Source organism: Homo sapiens, chromosome 3 (assembly GCF_000001405.40).
Source record: "Homo sapiens chromosome 3, GRCh38.p14 Primary Assembly".
Classification (NCBI taxonomy): Eukaryota; Metazoa; Chordata; class Mammalia; order Primates; family Hominidae; genus Homo; species Homo sapiens.
Window position 1 is genome coordinate 32,416,570 of NC_000003.12, and position 22,935 is coordinate 32,439,504.

At 44.4% G+C, this 22,935-nt stretch overlaps 1 protein-coding gene across 2 annotated transcripts in view, besides 6 other annotated features; it reads left to right on the top strand.

The window, feature by feature from the left end:
• The window catches only part of CMTM7 (CKLF like MARVEL transmembrane domain containing 7), a 63,676-nt gene that overhangs the window by 24,717 nt on the left and 16,024 nt on the right, over positions 1-22,935 (top strand). The gene's annotated exons all lie outside the window — the stretch shown is intronic.
• Positions 3,071-4,270: an enhancer, noted in NCBI's record as "MED14-independent group 3 enhancer chr3:32461132-32462331 (GRCh37/hg19 assembly coordinates)". NCBI's record gives its function as "activates an origin of replication core promoter dependent on BRD2, BRD4, P300/CBP and CDK7 cofactors, and independent of MED14, by STARR-seq in HCT116 cells {active_cell/tissue: HCT116}" and the evidence as "EXISTENCE:reporter gene assay evidence [ECO:0000049][PMID:35650434]".
• Positions 3,502-3,561: an enhancer, noted in NCBI's record as "active region_19634". NCBI's record gives its function as "activates an Ori minimal core promoter by ATAC-STARR-seq in GM12878 lymphoblastoid cells {active_cell/tissue: GM12878}" and the evidence as "EXISTENCE:reporter gene assay evidence [ECO:0000049][PMID:35858748]".
• Positions 3,622-3,691: an enhancer, noted in NCBI's record as "active region_19635". NCBI's record gives its function as "activates an Ori minimal core promoter by ATAC-STARR-seq in GM12878 lymphoblastoid cells {active_cell/tissue: GM12878}" and the evidence as "EXISTENCE:reporter gene assay evidence [ECO:0000049][PMID:35858748]".
• Positions 3,782-3,861: an enhancer, noted in NCBI's record as "active region_19636". NCBI's record gives its function as "activates an Ori minimal core promoter by ATAC-STARR-seq in GM12878 lymphoblastoid cells {active_cell/tissue: GM12878}" and the evidence as "EXISTENCE:reporter gene assay evidence [ECO:0000049][PMID:35858748]".
• Positions 7,317-7,406: a silencer, noted in NCBI's record as "silent region_14169". NCBI's record gives its function as "represses an Ori minimal core promoter by ATAC-STARR-seq in GM12878 lymphoblastoid cells {active_cell/tissue: GM12878}" and the evidence as "EXISTENCE:reporter gene assay evidence [ECO:0000049][PMID:35858748]".
• Positions 20,046-20,727: an enhancer, noted in NCBI's record as "H3K27ac-H3K4me1 hESC enhancer chr3:32478107-32478788 (GRCh37/hg19 assembly coordinates)". NCBI's record gives its function as "activates a minimal SCP1, AML or CMV promoter by ChIP-STARR-seq in naive H9 embryonic stem cells {active_cell/tissue: H9 hESC(naive)}" and the evidence as "EXISTENCE:reporter gene assay evidence [ECO:0000049][PMID:30033119]".

The following is a 22,935-nucleotide window of genomic DNA, read 5'->3' on the forward strand; positions in this document are numbered from 1 at the left end:
TTAGTAGAGACGGGGTTTCGCCTTGTTAGCCAGGATGGTCTTGATCTCCTGACCTCATGATCCAACCGCCTCGGCCTCCCAAAGTGCTGGGATTACAGGCGTGAGCCACCACGCCCAACCATATGTACTTGTTAAGAATGAATTGCTGGGCAAGCTCAAAAAAGCCTGGGCTCTGGTGTAGATGAACTGTGAGTGTTGGGGGCTGTGGTATTGCTTTAAGGTTTTTCTTTTGGTATTAAGAAATTCCAGGGCAGAGAAAGTCAGAGAAAGTCATTTCTATGGAAATGAAGTGAACTTTTTACAAAGTGTACTAAGGGCTGGGACCTCTGAATTTCATCTCTTCTTCACAATCTAACTGTCATTCCACAGCAGTGTCATTGTGTGGTTTCTCAGCAGATGTCTTTTTCTTTTAAGTTTTTTAAATAAGAGCATTATTGAGATAGAATTCACATACTATAGAAATCATCTATTCAAAGTGACAATTCAGAAGTTTTTAGTCTGTTCACAGAGTGTGTACCGTCATCACCACAATCAATTTCGGAACACTTAGAACAGTTCTGTGGGTTTTGACAAATGCATAGAGTTATAGATCCGTCACCACAGTGTGTACAGAACAGTTCCATCACCCTAAATTCCCTCATGCTGCCCCTTCATAGTCAATCCTTTCCCCACCTTGTAACTCCTGGCAACCATTGATCTGTCTTCCATCCCTATAGTTTTACTGTTTCCAGAATGTCGTATAAATGGAATAATATAACATGTAGCTTTGGGAGTGGCTTCTTTCACTTAGGAAAAGGGGTTTAAATTAATCCATGTTATCACTTGGATAATAAAAATATTCTTTCTATTACTGAGTAGTGTTCCATGATATGGATATGTGTGTGTTCACCAGTTGAAGGACATCTGTTTCCAGATTTTGGCGATTATGAATGAAGTTGCTATAAACATTCATTTACAGGTTTTTCTTGGGTGTATAAATGTAAGTTTCCATTTTTCTTAAGTAAATACCTATCTGTAGTTTTGTTGGGTCGTACGTTAAGTATATATTCAAATGTATAAGAAACTGCAAAGTTGTTTTTTACAGTGGCTATACCATTTTGCATTCCCACAGCAGTGTATGAGAGTTCTTGTTGTTTACCACACTTGCCAGCATTTGATATTATCAGTATTTTCTAGTTTGGGTTTTGCTTAATTTTAGCTATCCAAATAGGTAGGTAATGATATCTTACTGTGGTTTGTTTTTGGTTTTTTTTTTGTTTGTTTATTTATTTTAGACAGGTTCTCACCTGGTGTCCAGGCTGAAGTGCAGTAGCATGATCTCAGCTCACTGCAACCTCCACCTTCTGGGTTCAAGCAATCCTCCCATCTCAGCCTCCTGAATAGCTGGGACTATAGGCGTGTAACACCACACCTAGCTAATTTTTGTATTTTTTGTAGAGACCAGGTTTCCCTGTGTTGCTAAGGCTGGTCTCGAACTCCTGGGCTTAAGAGCTCCACCTGCGTCAGCCTCCCAAAGTGCTGGGATTACAGTTGCGAGCCACCGCGCCTGTCCTTATTGTGGTTTTAATTTCCATTTCCCTAAAGACTATAATGTTGAACATCTTTTCATGTGCTTATTTGCCATCCACATAGCCTCTTTGGTGAAGTATCTATTCACATTTTTTGCCCATTTTTAAAAATAGGCTTGTTGGTTTTTTATTTTTAGGTTTTGAGTATTGTTCGTATATTCTGGATAAAGTTCTTTGTCAGAAATGGGATTTACAAAATGTTTCCACTGCTCTATATCTTGCCTTTTCTTTCTCTTAGTCTCTCGAAAGAGCAGGGCAAAAGTTAACTCTGATAAAGTCTAATTTATCAGTTTTTTTTCCTTATGGATTGTGTTTTCAGTATCTTATCTAAAAACTCTTTTCCTAATCCAAGTCACAAAGATTTTCTCCTACGTTTTCTTCCAGACGTTTTACAGTTTTATATTTTAGGTCTGTGATCCGTTTTGAATTAATTTTTGCATAAGGGTTAAGTATGGGCCAGGGGTCGTTGTTTTATATATGGATATCAAGTTTTTCTAGCACTACTTGTTGACAAGGATATCCTTTCTCCACTGAATTACTTTACACTTCTCTCAAAAGACCAGCTGATTATATTCATATGGGTCTATTTCTGGACTCTGTTTTGCTGCATTCGTCTATTTGTCTAAGCTTTCACCAGTACCACACTGTCTTGATTACTGTAACTTAATAGTAAATCTTGAAATTGGATAGTGCTCTTTTGCAAAGTTGTTTTTGGTTATTCTCATTCCTTGCCCTTTTCATATGAATTTTAGAATCAGTTTTCCAATATTACAAAAATAACAGTAATAAAGCCTATCACTGGGATTTGATTGAAATTGTGTTGAACCTGCATATCCATTTGGGGAGAATTGGCTCATTAATAATATCATGAATTAATAATATCTATGAACACGGTGAGCCCTTCCAATTATTTAGGTCTTTGATTTCTTTCACCAGTGTTCTATCATTTTCACCATATTGTAAAGTTAGATTTATACCTAATAAATATTTCCCTTTTTGCTGCTATTGTAAATAGTCCTCTCCTTTGTGTTTAATTTTTAACTTCAGTTGTTCATTGCTAAGATATTGAAATGCAGTTGATTTTTGTAAATTGGTTTTGTATCTCATGACATTACTAAAGTTATTTATTAGTTCTAAGGAGGTTTTTAGTAGATTCTTTGGGATTTTCTACATAGATCATTATGTTGTCTACCAATGAAGTAGTTTTGTTTCTTCCTTTTCAATCCATATGCCTCTATTTCTTTTTCTTACCTTATTGCAACTTCCAGCAGTATAAGAATGTGAGAAAAGACATCTTTTCCTTGTTCCCTGTGTTGGGGGAAAGCATGCAGTATCTCATCAAGTATCATGTTAGCTGTGGGTTGGTTTTTAGATGCCCTTTCTCAGTCAAGGAAGTTCCCTCCTATCCTTGCTTGCTGAAAGTTTTGTTTTGTTTTGTTTAATCATGACTGGATATTGAATTTTGTCAAATGCCGCTTTTTCTGTCTCAGTTGATACGAATATATGGCTTTTCTTGTTTTGTCTGTTCATAAGGCATATACATTTGAAACATTTGGAAGTACTGAACTACTCATGCATTCCTGTGATAAACCTTAGCTGTGGTACATTTGTATTTCTTATATATGTTGGATATGATATGCTAATATTTTATGGAGGGTTTTTGATAGCCTGGAGTTTCTCTGTAAGCTTGTTAATGACTCAACCCACTTTGCGTCCTTCCTTTTGAGATATTCATGTATTCATGGTCTAGTGTGGGTTATTCTGAATCCTGGTCTCTCTTTCCTCTCTGTGTGGTTGGTGTTCTTTTGGGTTTATCTGTTTCTCCTTTTTGCCTACATGTTAGAAAAACTTGAAGTTATGCAGCTCAATTCAGGAACAGGATGTAGGAAGAAGTATTTGAGTCCAGTAGCTAGATTCAAATTGATTTGCGTCACATTATTGAGGTCCTACCAAGTGCTGGGTCCCTGTTGTCACCTTAGAAGAACAGTTTATTTGTGTTTATCTGAGCAGTCTAGTTCTCCATTAGCAGGCACATGAGAGGAGGTATTGTTGAGGATGAACCTTTCGTCCATGTCTCTTTGTGGCCTCCCTGTTTCCTCCAGATGCATCCAGATCAGGGCAGAAGCAGAGCCTGCTTCATGGGGACTGAAAGGCCTTCTTTGTCTTTCCACCAGGAGGCTTTTGCAGTGGCAAGGAGGCCTGAGAATGACCCCGCAGGCCGGGTGAGGGGAAATGTAGGGAGTGGCCAGGTTCCAGCCTAACAGGTTATTTTTAAAAAGTGAAGCCCAATGAGGTGGGGAACTTTCTGAAGGGAGGTCTTTGTTTTCACTTGGCACTCAGATGACTCAAAAGTGAGAAAGCAAAGGAGAATGCAGGCAGCAGGGGAGGGCTGACTCTACGCCAGCCTTCTGAAATGACTTCAGCTGTACCTGGGCCTGCAGGTCACAATGATCATGCCTTTGAACTGGGGACACGGTTGAAAAGGCTGGAGGAGGAAGAAAGGGGCAAGGTGTCCACGCCATAGTCCCACTGTCTGCCTGACTGAAGGGCGGTTTACCACAGCTGGCTTTTTGTTCCCTAAAAAATGCAGCGGCCAGAGAGCAGGTGGGAGAGGCCCTCTCTGGGGAGTTGTTCCTCAGAACTGGGTCTGGGGGCAGGAGAGGGGGCCAGCTAATGGCCTGCAGAAGTGGCAAGGCCTGCTGCCTGCTTGCTTGACTCAGCGGTTTAGTTTATGGCAGAGTTTGCACAGACGGAATCGCTTGACCATGTTGTCAACAATCTGAGGCAGCCAAGCCAGCCAGGGAAGTTTTTTTGTTGGTCTCACCGGCTGTCTGGACCCTCCCACTGGAGGCGACCCTGCTCCCCACCTCACCGTGCAGCCTGGGTCCCTGGAGGCTCCCTGGGACATTCCTGCCACCTGCTGCCCTCCTCTCCCACCCAGCTCCTCTCCCTTTTCTTCTGGCCACTATTCTGATTTCAGTCCCCATTGCCTTGCTAGAACTGACACAGCCTCCTACAAACTGACTTCTGTGTCTTTTCTCTCCCATCTCCAGTCCACCTGCTACTAGATTCATTTTCCTGAAGAACAATTCTGCTGTGGCTCTTCTCTGCTCAATAACCTTCACTGGCTCCCCATCGCCCACCTAGCATATCTACTTCCTCAGCCTGGAATCTGATCCCCACCCCATCCCGCCAGCTTTGCTTCCCATCACACCTCTTCACATACCTGTGCAGTTTGCCTAACATGGACAACAACCCTCTTGTTCCCAAATATACTCTTGTGCTTTCCCACCCCTATGCCTTCTGTGGCTGTGTTCCCACTGCCAGAAGCCTCTGATTCCCCTTCTCTGTGTGTTGGAATGCTTTTGTGGAGTCCACACCAGGGCCATGTCTGCTCTTCATACGGGACATGCCTGACCTTCTCCTTCCTCTATTCCTCACAAATTGTAGCTCTCTGGTGGTATTTATCCCCTGTTTTGTTGTCGTTACTTGTGTCTGGATCTTAAGCTCCTTACCCTTTAGGACAGGGTCCGTGTCTAAGCTGTCCTCATATCTTGCTCATCTCCTGGTGACAACACACTGCACTTAGAGGAATCATCATTTTTGTGCTACTTTGTGCCAAGACCTCAAACATTATCCTATTTGTTCCTCCCAAGAAACTTCTGAAAGAAGTTTTAATACCTAACATTTGTTGAGCATTTACTGGAGCAGTACCAGGCTGTTCTAAATATTTTGCCTGAATTAGTTCATTTAATCCTTGTATTAACTCATTAACTCTTTGTAGTATATTTGATTATTATCCCTCATGCCAAAGATGAGGAAACTGAGGCCCAACGGGGTGAACTAGCCCCTACTGTCTGTGTTGAGTGACTGTCTGACCTGTGGGGGTTGCTAGCCATGCTTTATTGCTCCTGTTTGGCCTTCCTTCCTCTGATGGAAGGCAAGCCTTTGGCTAACACTCATACTTCCTTCCCCAGGCCCCACAGGGCACAACGTGATGATCACACGTTCTCAACAATAGTGATTTTTCATCCGTGACACATGCTTACAAATCCCTTAATGGCTTTTCTATTCTTGTTTTGTCGTTTTTTATCCCAGACTAATTTCTTCTTCCCCAGGCTGGCACTTATTTGGCATTGTGCTGCCTGGGGTTTTAATCAAGGCGGCCTACACCCACATTGTGAAACTCAACAGGCACTCACTTCTGGCACGGGCCCAGGGCTGGGTGCCAGGCCTCCTGCTGGGACTGGCCCCACAGCTTCTCCAAATATTTATTTCCCCAGGATAGTGGCAAAAGTACTCAGCAGCAGAACTATTTCTTCTGTGTCAAGGTTCCTTAGGATTATCTTTGGCAAAATGGCAACCAGTGCCGTCTCGTAGCCCTAATGCCAAGCACAGAGCTGGACGTGTATTTGGCCATCAGTAGATAATCCTTGAATGAATAACTTCATTCTCCTTTCCTTTTTAAAAGCTAGGGTTGCCTGACTGGGAAACCAGGAAAATTCTGAAAACAGATGTATCAGTTAGCTTTTGCTAGATAACAAATACAGACACTTCTCAACTTATGGTGAGGTTACTCCTGAGAAATCCATTGCAAGTTGAAAGTACTGTTAAGTCAAAAACGCATTTAATACCCTCAACCTACCAAACATTATAGCTTAGCCTGGCCCACCTGAAACATGCCCAGAACACTTACATTAGCCTACAGTTTGGCAAAATCATTTAGTACAAAGCCTATTTGGTAATAAAGTGTTGAATAACCCAAGTAATTTATTGATGTTCTACTGAATGTATATCACTTCCATACCATTGTAAAGTTGAAAAATCATAAGTTGAACTATCATAAGTCCAGCCATCATAACTGTAGGCACAAAACCTCAGTGGCATACAGCAATAAAAGTTCATTGCTGACATGACTGAGGTCAGCTGGGGATTGGCTCTGCTCATTATAAATTAGGCTTGCTTCTGTGGCTGGGGGTTGGCTGCTGTCATCTGATCTGGGCTGGCTTCTCCTGGGGTAACTGCAGTGACAGCACTGTCCACGTGCCTCTCATCCTTCTGAGGCCAGCAGGCTAGTAGCTCGAGTAGAGAAAAGTGGTCAGATAATTGCATTGTCACAAAGCACACATTGGGTGGTATGAGCACACCAAACTCAAAAGGACCTACCTTTGCTGTGGCACTGAAGAGTGGCCACATTTCATTTTAAGAAAAATCAATATGTAGATATATTTGCTGGTAGAACTCTCTTTTCAAATGGAATCTTACAGAGAACATGAGTAAATGATTCTTATAAGCTGCTCAGGGGTAGGGGCCGAGAGGAGGGTGGAGGCAGAAGTTGTGTGTCTTCCTACTGCTCCTTCTCGGTTTCTGTGGCTACTGGGAAGCCAAAACCAAGAGCTCTCCAAAGTGTCTCTGTCACTGACATTCTTCATTGACCTGAAGCAGAGCGTGGAGCCCCCAGGCCCAGCAGTTAGCCCCGTCAGAGCCTCTAGCCTGCAGGGGATTCAGAATGAGCAGAACTGCAGTGATGTAGTATGGAGGTGGGGGTTTATCAAGCTATTCTCAAGGTTTGGCCACCAGGGTGGTTTCATTCTATAATATTCAGTAACAAGCTTCTCAGAGGTGACAGCTGCCTTTTAGCTGAGCCATCCTAAGAGTATCTGCTGAGGACACATTTTTAAGCCAGCCCCCCAGGTGCAGGTCACAGATGGTGTCTCTTTCACCTGTGCCCGTCACTGTCCTCTGGATAGATTTCAGCTTCCCTGTGCAAAGAATCAAAACATGAAACCCAGAACAGTGCATATGTTACTTTCAATAGAGGCCAGATAGGACCTTTTTCTCTTTAAGTGCTTGTTCCATAACGGATTACTCAAAAATTTAATGGTGTAAAACAACCACTTATTCTTACAAATTCTGCAGGTCGGGAATCCAGACAGGGCGCAGTGGAGAAGGCTTATCTCTACTCCACAATGCCTGAGGCCTCAGCTGAGAAGACTTGAAAGCTGGGGCCAGAGTCATCTGAAGGCTTACTGTCTCACATTGCAGTTGATGCTGGCTGGCGGCCTTATGGGCTGTAACACCTACACATGGCCTCTCCAGTGCTCTAAGCCTCTCATAACATGGTGCCAGGGTTCCTAGGGCGAGCAGCCTGAGAGTGCGGACCAGAAAGAACTGGTATTGTAGGCTGCGACCTCACCTTGCAGATCACGTCGTGTCACTTCCATCACATTACAGGCGGCCACCAAGGCCTGCCCAGCTTCAAGGGGAGAGGAAACAGATTATACTTCCTGATGGGGAGTGGCAAGGTTCTGCAAGAGCATATGAGACTAGAAGTATCGCTGTGGCCATTTTTGGAAAACACAGCCACAGTACATGAACGCAGTGTTGGGTGTTCTTTTATACCCCATTACCAAGGCCAAAGGATTCAGAATATCTGGTTGCAGGGAGCTTGTTTAAGCCTCTTGCCCCCTCTCCCAGACCACTGAGCCCTTGGGGAAAGGTTTTTTTTTTTTTTGCGGCTGGGGGGATACATGGTCTCACTCTGTCGCCCAGGCTGGAGTGCAGTGGCTTGATCATGGCTCACTGCAGTCTCAACCTCCCAGGCCTCCAGCAATCCTCCCAGCCTCGGCCTTCCGAGTAGCTGGACCACAGGTGTGCGCCACTGCACCCAGCTAACTTTTCAATTTTTTGTAGAGATGGGGTTTTGCCGTGTTGCCCAGGCTGGTCTCAAAGTCCTGAGCTCAAAAGATCTGTCCACCTCGGCCTCCCAAAGTGCAGGGATTATAGGCATGAGCCACTGTCCTGGGAAACCTTTATAGTTAGAGCTTTGCTGAAAACAGAGGCCAGAGGCAAAAAACGTAGAAAAAACATAGAAGAGGCAGGAAGCAGTGTCAGTGGTTAAGAAGCAGACCTTGCAGCCAGATGGAAAGGACTGAATCCCAGTTCTGTGTAAACAGCTCTGTGGTCTAGAGCAGGTGCCTCTCTGTGCCTCAGTGTCCTCATCTGTAGAATGAGGGGCATAATAGGGTTGTCATAATAATTTGACAGCCCTATGCCTGGCACATAAGTGCGTAATGAGTATTAGCCATTTATGAAAATAATTATCATTATTGGTATTATTTCGGCTCCTTATAAAAAAAGCTTATGTCTCAGCAAGGGCTGTAGATCCTGCCCCACTCCTGCCAGTCCTGGAGAAGATTTCTTGGCAGTCACACCCTTTTATTTTGTTATTGACCTCATCAGGGAGCCTGTGGGAAACATGAGCTCCTAATCCCAGTAAGACCCTAGCTGTATATAGGGATTTCATTTGTCTGATTTTATCTAGTTACCCAGGTCTTAGAATCTTGACTTTCCAGGAAAAAAAAAAAAATAAAAGAGCATTTAATGTATTTTCTAAATTTTTCCCATTTGTAAATTAACATGCTCTGTTTCCTCAATTCTAAGCTCCCACCAACCTTAAGACCATTGATTTTTATAACTTGTTCGGTTGGTGGGGGAAGAGTGCCAATCTGTTGTATATATAGTACATTCCAGTCTCAACAACATTAAAATGTAGAAAGGTACAAATTGGAATTAAGGAAACACATTGAGTTCACTAGAATTTAGAAGTCTAGAAAAACACCTTAGAACTCCTTATAATTAGGTTGGGTGTGTAATTTTAACAGGATATTTTTGAGCAGGAAAGGACACCGGTCGGCACCTGGTCACAAGCATAAAACTGGGATTTGGCTGGGTGTGGTGGCTCACGCCTGTAATCCTAGCACTTTGGGAGGCCGAGGTGGGCGGATCACCTGAAGTTGGGAGTTTGAGACCAGCCTGACCAACATGGAGAAACCCCATCTCTACTAAAAATATGAAATTAGCCAGGCATGGTGGCGCACGCCTATAATCCCAGCTACTTGGGAGGCTAAGGCAGGAGAATCGCTTGAACCTGGGAGGCAGAGTTTGCGGTGAGCCAAGATCGCACCATTGCACTCCAGCCTGGGCAACAGGAGTGAAACTCCGTCTCAAAAAAAACAAAAAAACAAAACAAAAACTGGGATTTGCCTGAGCAAACTAGAATATCTGCTCCCCTAACCTAAAACCCTGAGTTAAAACTAGAGCTAACCACAGTTAACACACCAGGCACTTGGCTTCCATTTTCTTCTCTCAGTGGTTATATTTTCACACCATGAGTCTTTCTTAACCTTTTTAATATTTATGTCATGAATATTTTCCCATGTTATGAAAGCAAGATTATTTAAAGCTACATTTTTCATAATTACAAAATAGTAATATTTTTAATACAGAATTTTAAAAAACACAGAAAAAGCATGAAGGGGAAATAATCACCCATAATGCCATGACCCCCAAAGAGTCACAGTTGACATTTTGTCTGTAGTATTTTTCTTCAAATATATTATCTGTGGTTTTATTAGGGTGGCGGAAGGGGTGGAGTTACAACTTCTATGCCTGATTTTTTTTTTCTTTGCTAGGTGAACATTTTTGTTAATGGCTACATAGTATTTTGTCATAAGGCTAAACTATAATTTATCTAATTAACAAGTACTATTTGATATCTACAGGTTTTGTAATTTTTCCACTTTTATAACACTGTCATGACTTGTAAATAAATCTTGGCCGATATGCATGAGTGTTTTAAAATTATTAGAGGTGAAGTTATTGGTTCAAAGGATATGCATTTTTTTTAGATTATTTGATAATTTAATGCTAAGTCCAGAGGTGCCTTTTAGACCCAAGCTCAACCATCAACCCTTAAATGTTAGTAGTTATTTCACTACTTATTATATACTTTATGATGTGCTATATTATATACTTACTTTGTGTCAAGCACAGTGCTTTATATGTATTGACTGATTTTACCCTCATAACTTCCTAATAGAGTATATGATCACTTCTATTATATAGGTGAAGAAATTGAGACATGATAAAGTTAAGGCCACACCACTAGAAAATGGCACCAGCCATTGAACTGAGTGGAAATACAACTGGGTTTACACAGAAATGAACTCAGGGCATGGCTGGAGGGACCACTCCCTGGCTGCTATTTATGAAAGGTTACTGACTTCTCCAGACTAGCTGAGTAGCCCTTCCTAGAAGCCCAATACTTAATCTAAGGAGGGACAAAGGTCTGGTCCCACTGAGCAGGACAAACACGTAGTGAGTTCTTTTATTGAGTGGCTGCCTTGTGAGATCCAAAGAAACCCAAACCCTGCCTGGATCTGAAGGAAGTTTCTTCTCATGAAGGGCATGAGAATGAGACTGGAAGGAGCTGTGGCAGATGCTAGAGAAAGGGTGGGCGGGAGAGGTGCCCTCGGTATGGGGACCAGGAGGGCAAGAGAGTGCTTCTTAGACAGTCTGGGACTGTATAATACCATAGCCACTAGCTACATGAGGGCTATATAGATTTAGATTAATGAAAATCAAATTAAGAATTCAGTTCTTTGGTCACACTAGCCCATTATAAAGGCTTAGTAGTCACAGGAGGCCATGGGCTGCCATATTGGACAGCACAAGTAGAGAACATTTCCATCATCACAGAAAGTTCTATTGGAAATCTGATCTAGAAGCAGGAGTTTGGCAGGGGGCAGATTAAAGGATAGAGAATGACCTGTAGTCTATTTCAATTTGGACATGGGTCACGCATGGGAAAGTAGAAGCAGACGTTGGAAAGGGAGTTTGGGGCTATTCCTTGGCGTGATCTGTGAGCTTCATTTTGTGTGGACTTTGTATTAGACCTCTGTAGTGTTTAGGATAGGAAGTCTCATTAGATCAAACTCTTAAGTGTCTGTCATGCCCATAGCCTCTTCTGAGGAAGCTATGCCAGTATGTGGCATCACCTAACCCTGGGCCAAACTGGCTAGGGCAGAGACTGCATTGTTCATAGTCTGGACACAAGGAAGGTCTGAGGCCCATGAAGTGATGGGTAAATACGGTCCTTCCTGTGGAGAGTGTGCTGTGAGAGGGGCTTGGTCCCAGAATACATGGCAGGGACACACAGGAGCAGGAGAGAAGGATGCCCGCTTGTGGCTATACCCTGAGCAGTGAGGAAGGCCCACCAGCTCTCTCCAAAGCCTGCCTGAGAGGTGCTGAGAGGGCTCCCCAGGCCCTTTGCAACAAACCCCATTGCCAGAGGTGGCCAGAGTGCAGCCTCAGTCCTCCCTGCAGCCTCAGAGTCCGACTCCTGGGGCCACCTGCCTGACCTTGAATTTTTCCTTCATTTCCTCATCTCAATACTAACCAGATCGGGGTACCTCATGGAGGAGAAATGTAAAATAAACAGGAGTTTCAATGAACTGTCAATTAGGAAGGGGTTTAAGTGTCTGCTGAGCCTCTAGAGAGCAGGAAGTCAAGGGTGTCTGTGAGATTCAGGCAGGAAAGAGGTTTAGAAAGGAGCGAAGCTGAGGTGTTGTGGGGCGGCTTCCCTGTTGGGGGCTAAGCCGGCCTGGGCTTTGGCTGTAAGGAGTCAGTCTCATCTTAGTGTGAGCCCTTTTGCTCCTTTTTCTGCTTACATAACATCTTTGTTTGGCTTGTAAAATTATACCATGCCAGACATATTTCCAGACACCTCAGGCTCTTTTCTCTACCAAGTTGATCCAAGCAGCTTGGTTGTTTTTCCAGCCAATCCTGATCGTCATTGCTCCAGAAGGTTTCTTCTATTCTTCACAGAGACTTAGATGAGCTGTGTTCAGCCCACCTTGCACCTGAGAGTCGTGGAAAGCCGCAGATAACAGCTGCCCACCTGTGGCCCACCTGGCCCCACTCAGACACCAGCCAGGGTTTGCTTGACTGCACCAGACCTGCTCCCACCAAGGCTCTGCGCTGGTATTTGCACTGGTAACTTTTGTGAATGTAGAGCCTCATCGTTTGGTCTGGCTGTGGTCAGAATGTGAACTATTGCACTTTCATTCAGTTTATCGAAAGGAACCAAAAATCGTTGTCTACTCTTGAATGAAGCCCCATTGTGTATCACACTGCTCGAATTGCTTATTAAACAGAATTATTATTTTATAGTTTTAAAAATAAAAAGAATAATTTCACAACTTCCTCTCATGCCTTTATGGGAAGAGTGATGACTGCAAATCTGAATCCTTTTTTCCCCCTCCCCTCTTTTGTCTTAATGACTGTTAATTCTTTCTCTAAGCTTATTGAGTAGTGTATTTTTTTTTTTTTTTGAGATACGGTTTCACTCTGTCACCCTGGTTGGAGTGCAGTGGCATGATCTCGGCTCACTGAAACCTCCACCTCCTGGGTTCAAGTGATCCTCCCACCTCAGCCTCCCGAGTAGCTGGGACTACAGGCATGCGTCACCATACCTAGCTAATTTTTATGTTTTGGTAGAGACAGGGTTTCACCATGTTGACTAGGCTGGTCTCAAACTCCTGACCAAGTGATCCACCTGCCTTGGCCTCCCAAAGTGCTGGCATTACAGGCGTGAGCCATCACGGCTGGCTGGAGCAGTGTATTTTTTTTTTTTTTTTTGAGACGGAGTCTCACTCTGTCGCCCAGGCTGGAGTGCAGTGGCGCGATCTTGGCTCACTGCAAGCTCTGTCTCCCAGGTTGACGCCATTCTCCTGCCTCAGCCTCCCGAGTAGCTGGGACTACAGGCGCCCGCCACCACACCCAGCTAATTTTTGTATTTTTAGTAGAGACGGGGTTTCACTGTGTTAGTCAGGAAGGTCTTGATCTCCTGACCTTGTGATCCACCCTCCTCGGCCTCCCAAATTGCTGGGATTGCAGGCATGAGCCACTGCGCCCAGCCGAGCAGTGTATTTTTAAAAAAATGTTTTATGGAAAATTTCAGCTATGCACAAAAGTAGAGAGAATAGCACAGTGAACACTTGTGTACCTGTCACCCGACTACAACAATCATCAACTCATGGTCAGTCCTTGTGGAGCTGTGGTTCCACTGCCATGTTATTGTTTAACAGCTTTATTGAGATACAACTTAATATCAAAAGAGTCGTTCTTTTTAAGTGTGTGCAATTCAGTGATTTTTAGTAAACTGATAGAGTTGTGCAGCCATCACTGTAATCCAATTTTTGACACTTCTGTCACACCCCCCCCAAAAGATCCCTCGTACTTGTTTGCTCCCATATTGTTGTGAAGCAGATCCTGCGCTGTTTCATCTCATCTGCAATCATTACATAATGTGTATAAATTGCTGGCCAGCGTGTCTGCTTGTCATGGCGGTGCCTGCTCAGGCCATCCCCATTCTGCTTATGCCTTTATAAAATCACATGTGTTCAGGGCTGCTCCCTATTACAAACCCCAGAGAGCCTGCACTGAGCCTGCTGGCCATTTTTACTGTTGAGAATTCGATTCAACCCCAGATTCAGTTCTACATGACTTATTGACATCCTACTATGTGCTGGGCACTAGGGACACCACAGTGAATCCATGTAGTCTCTGCTGTGTGCACTTAAGGTCAGACTGTACACACAGTTGATGATGCAGTGGGTCAGAGGCAGCCTCGATGGGATGTGCGCTTAGTAGCCTGCTTGTCTCCAACTGAAGCATCATTCTGGCCTGATCTACATCTGAATGTGTGTGTGTGTGTGTGTGTGTGTGTGTGTGTGACACAGCTCTCCTGATGACCCTTTGCTTCTGAGTGTAAAGCCCCTACTTGTTTCAGGATGGACAGGAGAGAGTGAACGTGCTGCTGTCATCCCACGTGTTAGAGATAAGACTTTGCACCAGGGTGATGGTTTTGTGTTTCTTTACTCACCTCTCCTCTAGACAGTACGTGGAGAGGGAGTAAGAACATCGCCTAGCACAATGCCTGGGCCATAAAAGGATATAAAATTGCATTTGTTCATTCATTCACTTATTCAGCAAATATCTATGGAGAACCAATATACCATTCAAGGTTTCTGGCATGGGAAAACAACAGTGAACACAACAGATCATCATGGAACTTACGTTCAGGGGTGACAGACAGTAAGCAGACAGGTAAAATATACAACTTCCTGGGCAGTGATAAGGGCTTTGAAGCAGAATGATTGAATTGAGTGGCACCTACAAATGAGAAAATGTCTTTTTAAGAGGCAGAGGATAAAACTATATGTACAGTATGATCCCGTTTTTGAAAAGAGGAAATAGTACGTATGTGCTTGAAACATACAAACATGGAAAGAAATACCTCGAAATGCCAGGGGAGGTGGTTATCTCTGAGGAGTAGCATTATGGGTAATTTTTGTTTTCTTAAATAGACACCTGCCTGAATTAATTTCTATAATGAGCAAGTATTGATTCTATAATTGGAGTAACACTTTTTTTTTTTAAGCAAGAGACTTGACATGAGCAACATATCTAATGGGCTGAGCCTTGTGAGTTGGAGTCCCAGAGCCCTGCTGGCCAGTGTGAGGGAATCTGAGGCAGTGTTAAACTATGGACTTGCCTTCTGTCACCCAGCTCTCAGTGCTCACTCCCAGGTGGGACCAGACAGAATTTAGGCCCTCGACTGAAAACAGAGGCCAGAAGCTGGGACAGGGGGCTCTGTATACAAGCAAGTGCAGCCTGCAATGGAGCAGCATAGTGGTTAGGAACAAGGACTCTGCAGCTGCAGGCCAGGGTCCCAGGCCTGGCTCCTTAACCTGGCTGTGTGACTTTGAGCAAATTACTTGACCTTGTGTGCCTCAGTTTCCACATAAAAAGATGATAGTAGTACTTACCTCCTAGGACTGTTGTGATGAACTTAGTTAAAAATTTCAGGCCGGGCACAGTGGCTCACGCCTGTAATCCCAACACTTTGGGAGACCGAGGTGAGCAAATAACTTGAGGCCAGGAGTTCAAGACCAGCCCGGTCAACATTGCTGACTTCAGAGGAGACACCTCCTACCCTGGGGGTGGGTACAAGCTCAAACCACCGAGTTGTTTCAGCCCAAGCTCGCTTCTTGAGGCCTCCCTCTGGGATATGCTCCCTCTTCTGAGCCTTGGATTCAGATAGACCTGGATTTGCTTCTTGGTTCCACCATTTGCCATCTAGGTGATCTTCCTTGGGCAAGTGACCTGCCCTTGGTTCTCACTTTCTTTAGATCTGTGAATTGGGCAGAGTGCCACCTGGCCACAGTTGTGAGGATTAAATGTACCAGCATTGCACTGCCTGGTACCTAGCGGGTATTCAGTAGATGGTTGCCACTCCACTTGCCTCCTCCCACCACAGGCTTCCCAAATCACTTCCTGGCCTTCCATACCTTCTGCCCTGCCTCAGCGAGTGCTTCCTTCACCCCTGGGGGTTCCCATGGCCCTGACCCCCAGACATCTTCCCCGCCCATTCCTCTCTATGCTGTTCACTTTTGGTGACCACATGTCAATAACCAGTGGTGAGGCTGGGGTACCCTTTGGAGCCACAGCCTCTATGGTGCGGGACATCATTGCTATGGCAACAAGAGGCAGCAGCCCTGAAGAGGTGCCTGCTGAGCCGGGCTGCCTGGGTCCCAGCTCTGGCTCCGGATGCACTAGTTGTAGGATCAGCTCAAATCACTCAATGTCTCTGTGTCTCACCTTCCTTTTTGTACAGTGAGGAGAGTAATAGTGCCTACCTTGTAAGCTTGTGAGGATAAGATGGCCACACAGATGTAAGGCACATAGAGCTTGGTGCACGGTGAGCGTACAATCAGGGTTAGTGATTACTTTTGCTCTTCTTGTCATCCTAGGATTCATGCTGATAGCCATAGCAGATACCCTTCTCTTTGGGGTTCAACCCTCAATGCCCTGTGCCATCCCCACATTGTGTCAGCTGCCCTTGGTCCCCTCTGATGACCTACTCCTCCAGGGATTTTCTTGTGGAGATGACCGTCCACAGCCCCGTCCTTTCGCTCCCATGCCTATCTAAAGAATTATGTCCTCCTGTAGTGATGACAAGAGTGAGCAGCAGAAAATGCTCTTTTTGCAGTCTTGAAATTTAGTCAGCCCCAAAAGAAACCAGGAAATTGCGTCAGACACTGAAAGAGAAACAAGCTAGAGAAAAACCATTGCTTGTTGCAAACCAAAATTTGTGATTTCAGTTCAGTTCAACACAAGCACCAAACCACCAGGTTTGCTACACAATAAGTGTCAATTTTGCTTCTTGCCCTTTTGGATGCAGTGACATTTTTGACAAGTTGAGCTTTCTAGCCCGAACTTTCTAAATGTGATCCTGATGACCTTTGCCAGTGAAGTACGGTGGTGAATCAGTGATGTGATTGTGGTACAGACCATCGGTCTGGGCTGCACCTGTTGTGAGAAATCGGTTGGGGATGAAAAGAACATGGCCTGGCTTGAATAACAAGCAGAGAATGTTCTGGCCCCATCACGAGCCAAGAATCTGGAACCTGAATCCCTACATCACAGCCACACCCTGGTAGTCTGCCTGGAGAGCCTGAATGGCACCCTCCGGGGGCATTTGATGAGTACATTCTACCAAGTGTAAAGATGTTCTGAGGGCAGCCTCCAAAAGTCACCTCTTCTCCTGGTCACAAGGGACCTTGTGCTGGGTCCCTAATTGATGTTTGGCAAAAACACAGCATGGTTCTCTCCTAAAGGCCTACAGACCAGTGAAGGAAGGAGATGGGCTTTTTAAATGCAAGAGTGTCATGGAGCTGTCACAGAGGATGGCAGGATGAGCCCAGGAACCATTCATTCACCCAGTGTTGAAGTTGGCATTTCAACCAATGGGGAAAAAGTGAGCTGTCCAGAAGATAGGTTAATACAATCGATTGACTGATTGGATACAATCAGAACCCTACTATTTGCCCTAGTTCATGCCATCTACAAAAATAAATCCCAGGCTGGGCGCAGTGGCTCACACCTATAATTCCAGCATTTTGGGAGGCCGAGGCGGGTGAATCACCTGAGGTCAGGAGTTTGAGATCAGCCTGGCCAACGTGGTGAAATCCTATCTCTACTAAAATACAAAAAAAATAGCTGGGCCTGGTGGTGGGTGCCTGTAATCCGAGCTACGTGGGAGGCTGAGGTGGGAGAATTACTTGAACCTGGGAGGCAGAGGTTGCAGTGAGCCGAGATCATGCCATTAAACTCCAGCCTGGGCAACAAGAGTGAAGCTCCGTCTCAAAAAATAATAACAATAATAATACAAAAATAAATCCCAGATGACTAAAGAACTAAAAATTGTATGTATATTTTTAAAGGAAGCAAATATTTATTTTTAATGTAGGGGACTATTTTACTTATTTATGAATTAGGTTCTCACTTCGTCACCCAGGCTGGAGTGCAGTGGCCCAATCACAGCTTACTGCAACCTCTAACTCCTAGGCTCAGGTGATCCTCCAGCCTCGGCCTCCTGAGTAGCTGGGACTACAGGTGCATACCACCATGCCTGGCCAATTTTAAAAATTTTTTTTTTTTGTAGAGATGCGGGTCTCACTATGTTGCCCAGGCTGGTCTCGAACCCTTGGCTTCAAGTAATCCTCCTGCCTGTCTTGGCCTCCCAAAGCACTGAGATTACACCTATTGCCTCTTTTCTTTTCTTTTTTTTTTTTTTTTAAGTAATTTTGAGATAGAAAACAAGACACAAAACCCAGAAACTATAAAAAATGATGCATAGATTTGACTGTATAAAAACTTTTAACTTTAGTCAAACAAAAGACTAAAAATAAAGGCAAATGAGAGATGGAGAGAATATATTTGCAATGTCTATAAGAGACTAAGTAAGTTAGTATTTAGAATATAAAGAGTTCTTTGAATCCATAATAAAAATGGAAGCAATAGAAAATTAGGCCAAGAACGTGAAAAGGCAGTAGCCAATAAACATATGAAAAGATATCCAATCCACTAGTAATTAAGGAAATGAAAATTTAAATAGTACGATACTATTTCCATTCTTTTTAAATACTGTTAATCTGTGTTGGCAAGATTCCCTGTGGAGGGAGACAGGTATCTCTTTTGGATAACATTTTGGTAATAAACAACAAAATCTTAAACGTGCATATGCTTTCACTCAGTAATTTCACTTCTAGGAGTCTATCAGAAATATTCATACAGAGACCAGGCACGGTGGCTCACGCCTGTAATCTCAACACTTTGGGAGGCCGAGGCGGGTGGATCACGAGGTCAGGAGATCGAGACCATCCTGGCCAACACGGTGAAACCCCATCTCTACTACAAATACAAAAAAATTAGCCGGGCGTGGTGGTGCATGCTTGTAGTCCCAGCTACACGGGAGGCTGAGGCAGGAGAATGGTGTGAACCCGGCAGGCAGAGCTTGCAGTGAGCGGAGCTTGTGCCACTGCACTCCAGCCTGGGCGACTGGGAGAGACTCCATCTCAAAAGAAAAAAGAAAGAAATATTCATACAGATACAAAGAAGTACATCTAATTCTTTGCAGCGCTGTTTGTATTAATGAAAAACTGGAGATGTGCTGAATGCCCACCAATAAAAGATTAAGTAGGTCATTCTCCACCAGAGGCAATTTTGCCCCCCAGGGGACCTACAGCAATGTCTAGAGACATTTTTGGTTGTTGTAAGTGGGCAGTGGGTAAAGGCTGGCATCTCGTAGGTAAAGGCCAGGATGCTGTGATAAGACCACCTATAGGACAGCCACCTACAACAAAGAATTATCCAGCCCCGAATGTCAGTAATGCCAAGGTTGAGAAACCCTGGGTTAAATAAAGCCACTGCCATACTGGGGAATACTATATAGCCAATGAAAAGAAAAAGGTAAAATTATATTTGTATGACATTAAAGATCTCTAAGATGTATCATTTTAAAACTGCTTTTTTGAAACTTAATATGTGATTCTTACAATATAAGAAAACAAAACAAGTGGATTTTAAAACTACTAAATATCACTTCCCCTCCCCAGAGGCAAGTGCTGTTACCAGCTTCCTATGTGTCCTTCCAGAATTACCCCCAGCATGGACAAACATAGAATCTGGTTTTCGGTATGCTGCAAACAGGTGACTCTGCTGTGCAGTTACATTCAGAAACCAGTGGTGCATCATTGAGCTGCCCAAGGCCTGGAGCTCAGGACCCCGGACATATTTCCTAGATTATTCTCCCTCCCTTGGGTTTCTATGGCATTTTCATTTATAGATACAAAACAAAACTATGTGCTGGGGGGAATAGGAGCATGGGCAGGACTCTGGAGCAAGATTCTGATGTTGGTGAGTGAGACAGGACCTAGAGGAAGCCATGGGGCAGGTTTCTCAGCCAGTGGGTGTCAATGAGATTGCACAAAGGCTATTAGATGATGGTGACTTTAACAGGGAGGCACGGGTGAATCTCCTTACACTCAGTGCAAAATTCAGCCAAAGTTGGGAGCATACCACATTCCTCTTCCTGTCTGCCACTGCCAAGCAGTCATTTATGGGCCCACTAACATTTACAAATGCAGGTTCCAGGCACTGCATCCTCATCTGCATCTCTGACTTTCTGAACAAGCCTGGCTTTCATCTCCTGGGGATTTCCTGGAAAGCCTCTTAGAGTTGGGTCTGAGGCTTTTGATGTTAGCTTTCATCAGTTACTTCTCCTGCTCCTGCTTTCTCTCACTGAAGTATCATTCCAAGGTCAGATGCAGGGACAGTGGGGTTGGGTGACCTACCAGCATCCAGTCCAGGGCTTCCAAAAGGAAAGGTGTCTGGTGCCATCTTTAGCCAGACACAGGCACACTCAGTGGACCAGACTTGGCAGAGGCACGAGGGCTCAGGTCTGCTGAGGAAATGTTCCCAAGCATGGGTGGCAGGAGACAGGGTCCTGAGACCACCAGACACCTCCCCAGCCCAATCAGAAGCCGACGTCTCTTGAAAACTGCCTCTTGAGTTTTCTGTAGAGATTTTTCATCGTAGACCTCAAAATCTCATTTCTTTCTGGAAGGATGCTCAGCCAGGCTGAGAACCTGGGCAAACTTTCTGGCACCTGGCTGGTTGCGGGTGTACACTCAAGCTGCAACCAGACTAGTTTGGTTCCAGAGTCCTCAGGGGACCATCACTTTTCTCAGATCATGTCAGCTTCCTTCATCTCTTGTGAAATTTAAACCCTCTGCTCCTTCCAAAAAATCATGTCTTCTTTCTAGTAAGAATTCTGACAGAATGGAGTCAGAAAGGACACAGGTTCCAGGGAGTGATGTTTCTTATCTGGAATTCTAATTCCAGTGATTCTGTGGTATCATGGCTGGTCTGTGGGACCCTTGCTTTGAGTTGAGGGCTCTTGCAGTGTTACTTTTAAACCCCTGGACATGGCTGGGCACCGTGGCTCACACCTGTAATCCCAGCACTTTGGGAGGCTGAGACGGGTGGATCACTTGAGGTCAGGAGTTCGAGACCAGCCTGACCAATATGGTGAAACCCTGTCTCTACTAAAAATATAAAAATTAGCCGGCCGTGGTGGTGCACACCTGTAGTCCCAGCTACTCAGGAAGCTGAGGCAGGAGAATCGCTTGAACCCAGAAGGCAGAGGTTGCAGTGAGTGGGGATAGCGCCACTGCACTCCAGCCTGGGTGACAGAGTGAGACTCTGTCTCAAAAGAAAAAAATAGGCCGGGCGCGGTGGCTCACGCCTGTACTCTCGACACTTTGGGAGGCCAAGGCATGCAGATCGCAAGGTCAGGAGATCGAGACTCTCCTGGCCAACATGGTGAAACCCTGTCTCTACTAAAAATACAAAAATTAGCTGGGCATGGTGGCGCATACATGTAATCCCAGCTACTTGTGAGGCTGAGGTAGGAGAATCCCTTGAACCAGGGAGGTGGAGGTTGCAGTGAGCTGAGATGTTGCCACTGCACTCCTGCCTAGCGACAGAGTGAGACTCCATCTCAAAAAAATAAAATAAATAAAATAAACCCCTGGACATTTATGTTAGATATTTTATTTTTATGACAGTTCAATATAAAAGAACAAACCGTTACGAGAGGAGCTAGAAGGCACCTTAAGAGGCAAGTGAACCCTTTGGACAGCATCACTTTGAAGTTACTCTACACAGAAACATCTGTCTTCCAGGAGCCTCCCAGCTGCTTCACTCCGTCCTGAAGTCAGAACCCCTACCTCCAGTCCTCTCTGAATTCAGGCGTGTTTGTGCATTTGCTTTTCTAACTGGGAACACGAAGACACCTGAGAGGGTTGGAGCTGGCGGGAGGAGGGCAGGGATAAACACCCCAGCGCCTTTTCCCCACTATTGTCTTGTTCTTTCTTCCACTTCACCTTTGCTTTCTTTTTTAACTTGTATATTAAGTTCAGGGGTACTTGTGTAGGTTTCTTATATGGTAAACTTGTGTCATGGGAGGGGGTTGTTGTACAGATTATTTTGTCACCCAGGAATTAAGCTTCTAAATAATTCAGGGGGCCCCAGCATTTGCAGAAGTTACCTACTGGCTTTAGAAGAATTTCTGAAAAGTTTGATGTCAGTCAAATCTTTTTTTTTTTTTTAACTTAATATGCTGGCTAAGATGCTGGCTATTTAAAGTTGGAATGAATGAATCCCTGGGCAAAAAGGAAGCTTTTAGGAGCACGCATAAGCACACACCATACTCTGGCTAAATTAGATTTTCTAAAATTGGGCTTTCCTAAAGAAAGTCATATGGTAGATGGCCATAGGCCCAGTGAACCGAATTCAGAAAGTGTTATTTCATGAGCAAGTTTCCCAGAAAGGTTCGAGATGTTTCTGATAGAGCAGGAATGTACTTCCTACTACACAGTACTCAGCCCTGGAGGCTCAGAGCAGGAAGACCTGACCTGCACAGGCCCCTTTTGTTGGCTGGGAAACTTCCACATCCCTGTGTCACCATGAAAAAGAGCTAACTTTGTCTTCAACGACGAGTTGGAAAATTATTTTAATCTCTGCATTAAACTAGATGCAAAATTGCCTCTCTACCTAGGAATCACGCTGCATAATCCCACATTATCTGCATTTTCAGTCATGCCTTGAATAATGATACTTGAGTTCTTGAGGAGGTCATTGTGGGGCTGGGAAGACCCCTAGACTTCCCCATGTAGATGTGGCCTGGAAGTAAGACTAACGTAGCAGCAAAGCCCTGGCGATCATGCACACTCCTGAGTAAGGCAGAGGTGTGAATCATTATATCACCATGGCTGGCTAGCTTCAGAGGAACCGAAAAAATGAAAACACTTGCGTTGCTCATTAGCAAAGGGAAATACACAAATGTTGAGGGACTCTTTGTGTCACAGCCACACTCTTCTGTTTCGATCTGGTAAGCAGAGCACTCTCCATACCTGCTTCAAGCTTCCAGCTGAGAGTTCTCTTTTAGCTGTTGTACCTATTGCTGAGGATCTTGATAGTGGGCTAGCAACAAGGGGCTTTAGAAAATAAGAGCATTTCAGCATCAACTGTTTTAACTGGAGTAAGATCCATTTTGTGATTTGATTTGATTTTTATTTTTTTAGAGACAGACTTTCACTCTGTCTTGCAGGCTGGA